The sequence below is a fragment of the Homo sapiens genome, chromosome X (genome assembly GCF_000001405.40).
Source record: "Homo sapiens chromosome X, GRCh38.p14 Primary Assembly".
Classification (NCBI taxonomy): domain Eukaryota; kingdom Metazoa; phylum Chordata; class Mammalia; order Primates; family Hominidae; genus Homo; species Homo sapiens.
Window position 1 is genome coordinate 55136872 of NC_000023.11, and position 6183 is coordinate 55143054.

General features: G+C 43.9%; 1 pseudogene; it reads left to right on the forward strand.

The window, feature by feature from the left end:
• Window positions 1047-1688, forward strand: LOC100421179 (component of oligomeric golgi complex 1 pseudogene; annotated as a pseudogene).

Here is a 6183-nt window from a genome sequence, read left to right on the forward strand (position 1 = left end):
TGATCATGGATTGGATTATTGTTAGCAGTGAAGAAGATGAAGCTAACTGAACCACTTTTAGGTTTAGTTCTGAGGAGAGGATTTAGTGATGGCTGTGGAGGGTGTGGGAAAGAGGTGCCAGAGTTAATGAGGAAACTGTATAGTCAGAAGGATAAGATGATAAGATTACATGTGAAAATGTCAAGTTTGAGAGGACTGAGACCCTCAAATAGAGAAGAGGAACGGGCTAGGGGATTTTATGGGTCTGGAAGAGAGAGGTGAGAGCTCAGGCTTGGCAATACACATTTGGATTCTCTCAGTATAGGAATATTACTTGGGGCCGTGAAACTGAATGACATCCCTGATGAGAAGAAAAGAGGACCAAGGACTGTGCCCTGGAGAACTCCAAAATTCAAAGATCAGATGGAGGATTTGGCTATATTGACTGAGAAGAAAAAGGAATTGGCAAGAGGAAAACAAATAGAATGGGATGACAAAGCCATGTAATCATTTAGTGAGAGAGATGCAGTGAGCATAGTCTAATTCCAGGCTTCTTTTGCCCTTAAACTAGGATGCCACATTCCGATATCTGTTTCCTCAATACCCTTACTTATAACAATATGCCCCTCTCTCAAAAGCTGAATATTGACAAAGTTGTCATTGTGTTAGATAATAGAAGTGCCAGGGATCTTAAAAGAGTCTCTGTGTTACACAACTCCAGAAGGCACCGTTCACATAGAATGCAATGTGAATGGGGCTTCCTAGGGCCTTAAGGCCCAGTGCAGCTCCATTCTTGAGGTGTTGTTTGTCCTCAGCAAATTTGTTTACTCCAAGAGCTGTGTTCTGGAAAAATCAGTCTTAGAAATTAACCTGAATCTATACTCTTGAGCTGAAAGAGAATAGGGCTCACTTAGTTGTTTGGGAATAAGCCCACATCCATTACTATTGGCCTCTTTTTTCTCTACCAAAACCATTCTATCCTTCTCAGTGTGGAATGGGGGAATTCTGGCTGCTAGGAAAAAGATTGACTTGAGATATCCTTGAAAGAATTATCTGAGAATATTCCTCTCATACTCTTTCAGGTTCTGACGAAAGGACGCCAAGACTCATTCTCCAGTAGCTCTATTCAAAGAGCTCCAGGTTTTATCTTTGCAGGTTCTTGACATCAGGGCCAGCAATTCTACTTCAAATAAACAGATCCAAATAAGCAGGTGAAGCATATCTTTCTTCCTCCAGTTTGAGAATCCTCAAGACCTGCCTTCTAATGCTACCTGGGCCAATACGACAAGGCAGGGTCTATTTGCCAATAGTGGCCTCTCCACTAATGCTCAGCTGTTAGTCCTTGTGAGCAGAGCTTCCCTTCAACCCTAGATTTTAAGTTGAAGGTTAAACTGGATAACTTTCTGGCTTACTTTCCCTCTGATGACTCCTCCCAACCCAAGAAGGTCCTCACTATGCAGGTTAAAAACTCTGCCATTGACAGATTTATAGAGACTGGGACTGTGCAGGAAATGCTGCTCCAGAATCACTCCCTAGCATTCATCAAGCACATCTTGTACTGCAGGTGGGCAGAGCTGCAAAGCATTGAAGAGATTATGCAAGGATGACAAGATGTCCACAACCATATTTAAGTACACATAGTTCTATCCATGGTCAGATGCTGTCAATCACTGGGGAAACAGTGTTCCCATCTGAAACGGTTTGGCTGTGTCCCCACCCAAATCTCATCTTGAATTGTAATCCTCATAATCCCCATGTTAAGGGAGGGACCCAGTGGGAGGTGATTTGATCATGGGAGTGGTCCCCCCATGATGTTCTCATAATAGTGAGTGGGTTCTCACGAGATCTGATGGTTTTATAAGTGTTTGACATTTCCTCCTTCACACACTCACACTCTCCTGTTGCCTTATGAAGAAGATGCCTGCTTCCTCTTCTGTCACGACTGTAAGTTCCATGAGGCCTACTCAGCCATGTGGAACTGTGAGTCAATTAAACCTCTTTCCTTTATAAATTACCCAGTCTCAGGTACTTCTTTATAGCAGTGTGAGAATGGACTAAAAGAGGAATTGGTACTGCGGAGAGTGGGGCCCTGTTATCAAGATACCTGAAAATGTGGAAGCAACTTTGGAACTGCATAACAGGCAGAGGCTGGAACAGTTTGGAGGGCTCAGAGAGAAGACAGAAAGATGTGGGAAAGTTTGGAACTTCCTAGAGACTTGTTGAATGCTTTTGACCAAAATTCTCATAATGATTTGGACAATGAAGTCCAGGCTGAAGTAGTCTCAGATGGAGATGAGGAACTCAATGGGAACTGGAGCAAAGGTCAATCTTGCTATGCTTTAGCAAAGAGGCTGGTGGCATGTTGCTCCTGCCCTAGAGATCTGTGGAACTTTGAACTTGAGAGAGTTGATATGAAATTGGAACTTATGTTTAAAAGGGAAGCAGAGCCTAAATGTTTGGAAAATTTGCAGCCTGACGATGTGATAGAAAATTAAAAACCATTTTCTGGGGAGAAATTCAAGCCAGCTGCAGAAGTTTGCATAAGTAATGAGGAACCAAATGTTAATTGCCAAGACAACGGGGAAAATGTCTCCAGGGCATTTCAGACATCTTGGCAGCAGCACCTCCCATCACAGGCCTGAAGGCCTAGCAGGGAAAAATGGCTTCATGGGCCAGTCCCAGGGTCCCCCTGCTCTGTGCAGCCTCAGAACTTGGTGCCCTGTGTCCTAGCTACTCCAGCTCCAGTTGTGGCTACAAGGGGCCAAGGTACATCTCAGGCTGTTGCTTCAGAGGGTGCAAGCCCCAAGCCTTGGTGGCTTCCACATGGTGTTGGGCCTGCAGGTGCATGGAAGTCCAGAATTGTGGTTTGGGAACCTCCACCTAGATTTCAGAGGATGTATGGAAATGCCTGGATGTCCAGGGAGAAGTTTGCTGCAGGGGTGAAGCCCTCATGGAGGACCTCTGCTGGGGCAGTGCGAAGGCTAAATGAGGGGCTGGAGCCCCCACACAGAGTCCCCACTGGGGCACTGACTAGTGGAGCTATGAGAAGAGAGTCACCATCTTCCAGACCCCACAATGGTAGATGTACTGACAGCTTGCATAGTACACCTGGAAAAGCCACAGACACTCAATGCCAGCTGTGAAAGCAGCCAGGGCAGGGGGCTGTATCCTGCAAAGCCACAGGGGCAGAGCTGCCCAAGGCCATGGGAGCCCATCCTTTGCATCGGTGTGCCCTGGATGTGAGACATGGAGTCAAGGGAGATTATTTTGGAACTTTAAGATTTAATGACTGCCTCACTGGATTTTAGACTTGCATGGGGCCTGTAGCCCCTTTGTTTTGGCCAATTTCTCCCACTCAGAATGGAAGTATTTATTCAATGCCTGTGCTCCCATTGTATCTTGGAAATAACTAACTTGCTTTTAATTTTACAGGCTCCTAGGTGGAAGGGACTTGCCTTGTCTCAGATGAAACTTTGGACTTTTGGGTTAATGCTGAAATGAGTTAGGACTTTGGGGGACTGCTGGGAACAAAAGATTGTGTTTTGAAATGTGAGGACAGGAGTGGTGACTCACGCCTGTAATCCCAGCCAAGGCAGGCAGATCACTTGAGGTTAGGAGTTTGAGACCAGTCTGGCCAACATGGTAAAACCCTGTCTCTACTAAAAATACAAAAATGAGCCAGGTGTGGTGTTGGGTGCCTGTAGTCTCAGCTACTGAGGAGACTGAGGCAGGAGACTTGCTTTAACCCGGGAGGTGGAGGTTGCAGTGAGCCGAGATTGTGCCACTGCACTCCAGGCCGGGTGACAGAGTGAGACTGTCTCATAACAAGAAAAAAAAAAAAAGAAAAAGAAAAAGAAAAAAAAAAAAAGAAATGTGAGGACATGAGATTTGGGAGGGGCCAGGGCGGAAAGATATGGTTTGGTTTTATCCCCACCCAAATCTCACCTTTAACTGTAATCCCAATAATCCCCATGTGTTGAGAGAGGGACCCGGTGGGAGGTGATTGGATCATGGGGGCAGTTTCCCTCATGCTGTTCTCATGATAGTGAATGAATTATGAGATCTGATGGTTTTATGAGTGTTTGACATTTCCTCCTTCACACACTCATATTCCCTCCTGCTGTTCTCATGATAGTGAATGAATTATGAGATCTGATGGTTTTATGAGTGTTTGACATTTCCTCCTTCACACAATCACATTCCCTCCTGCTGCTTTGTGGAGAAGGTGTCTGCTTCCCCTTCTGCCATTCCCTTTCTGCCATTCCCCTTCTTCCATGATTGTAAGTTTCCTGAGGCCTCCCCAGCCATGCAGAACTGTGAGTCAATTAAACCTCTTTCCTTTATAAATTACCCAGTTTTGGGTATTTCTTTTCTTTTCTTTTTTTTTTGAGATGGAGTCTTGCTCTGTCACCCAGGCTGGAGTGCAGTGGTGCAATCTCGGCTCACTGCAAGCTCCGCCTCCTGGGTTCACACCATTCTCCTGCCCCAGGCGCCCGCCACCATGCCTGGCTAATTTTTTTGTATTTTTTAGTAGAGACGGGGTTTCACTGTGTTAGCCAGGATGGTCTCAATCTCCTGACCTCGTGATCCGCCCGCCTCGGCCTCCCAAAGTGCTGGGATTACAGGCGTGAGCCACCGTGCCCGGCCAGTCTTGGGTATTTCTTTACATTAGTGCAAGAACAAACTAATACACCATCTAAAGAAATGCATTTGGGGCAACTCAGGGAGCTCAGAGAAACCACAGAAGATATGAAAAAAAGAACCAGGGCCAATGAAACATGGAAGAAATTGATTCTACTTAATCCAAGTGACAGGAAGTTAAAGACCTACTCCTTAGTCTAATGGAATACCAAATCTGGAGTCTGGGGATTGTCAAAGTGAGTGATGTGTAAATTTATACTTTCCATGTTGATCTGTTAATCATCTATTTGTTTTATTATGTTACAATCTTGCCTACTTCAAAAAAGTCTTTTAGTAGTAAAGGAAGAGCAACTCTAACTCCACACAATTACTTTCACTTGAACCCTGAGAAATAGCACAGATATAAAATCTTTTCCACTCATTTTAATTAGATTTTATAGACCAAAAAGTTGGATTTTTTTCCCTTCCATCAGATGAGAATGAATGAATGACTTTCTCCCTGGAGAAGGCTATATATTTTCTGCTCTTCAACCTAAATATCATTTTCCCTAAAGTCTCCACCAGTATCTTAATGGGCAAATGAATTTGTAGTTTTGTTTGTAACCAGAAAATTTCCATTCATTATAACAATACTGTGGCCAGAAGATACATGGAAATTGCCAACCAGTCAAATGTGCGCCAGTGTAGAATCTCACATGTGATTTAGGCAGGTGCACCATCTTTGTACAGTTGGTCTCAAGAAATTGTCTTAAACAAAATATAAAATAGATCTCAATGGCTTCCTGGTCAGAATATTTGCCTGTTTTGCCCAGCCTCGGTTCATGTATTCAACCAGTTGTTCCATTCAGATGATATAGGTTGTACTCTGACCACAGCCTCCAGCCAGGAGGAACAAGAAATCGAGGAGGAGACAGAGTCTGGTAACAGTGTCAGCTTTAAGATCTGACTCACTTTGTAGGGATTTAAGTGACAATATTACAGAGCATTCATTTGAAAATGCTGCTATATAAAAAGAAATGAATTTAGAAAATCATTCAACATGGAGACTCTGATGAAGAGCTTAGAGTAAACTTTGTTTCATTCTACTGTTTCTTTGGTTATGTAAACAGAGAACTACTCCCTAGAGAAAATGTGTCCTGGCAGCCCTGGTCTTCACTATAAAAGCAGAGATACCCTGGCACTGCTGCTTGGCCACTGTGTTTCTTTTAGCAAATCATTAACCACTCTCAGTTTTCTCAGGATTGTATGTAGTCATAGGGATAACTTACTGTCAGCCTCCCACTCCTCACCTATGAAATGGAGAGCCCACACCACCTACCTCAGGGGTTAATGAGTAACTCGCACAGAGTGTGGCACAGGGTGGGTTTGAATTTAAGGGCAGTTTCTTTCCCCCAAGCACCACCACACCTCATTATTGGTGCAGCATTCTGCTCTTGCTTTATATTCTCATTTAAAATATATAACAGGGTCTAATTTCACCTCTTAAACTAATCTGGCTCCCTTTTTTCAAACTCCTAATTTTGAAAAAAAAAAAAAATCCAGACAAGTCCTTTTGTATCGCCA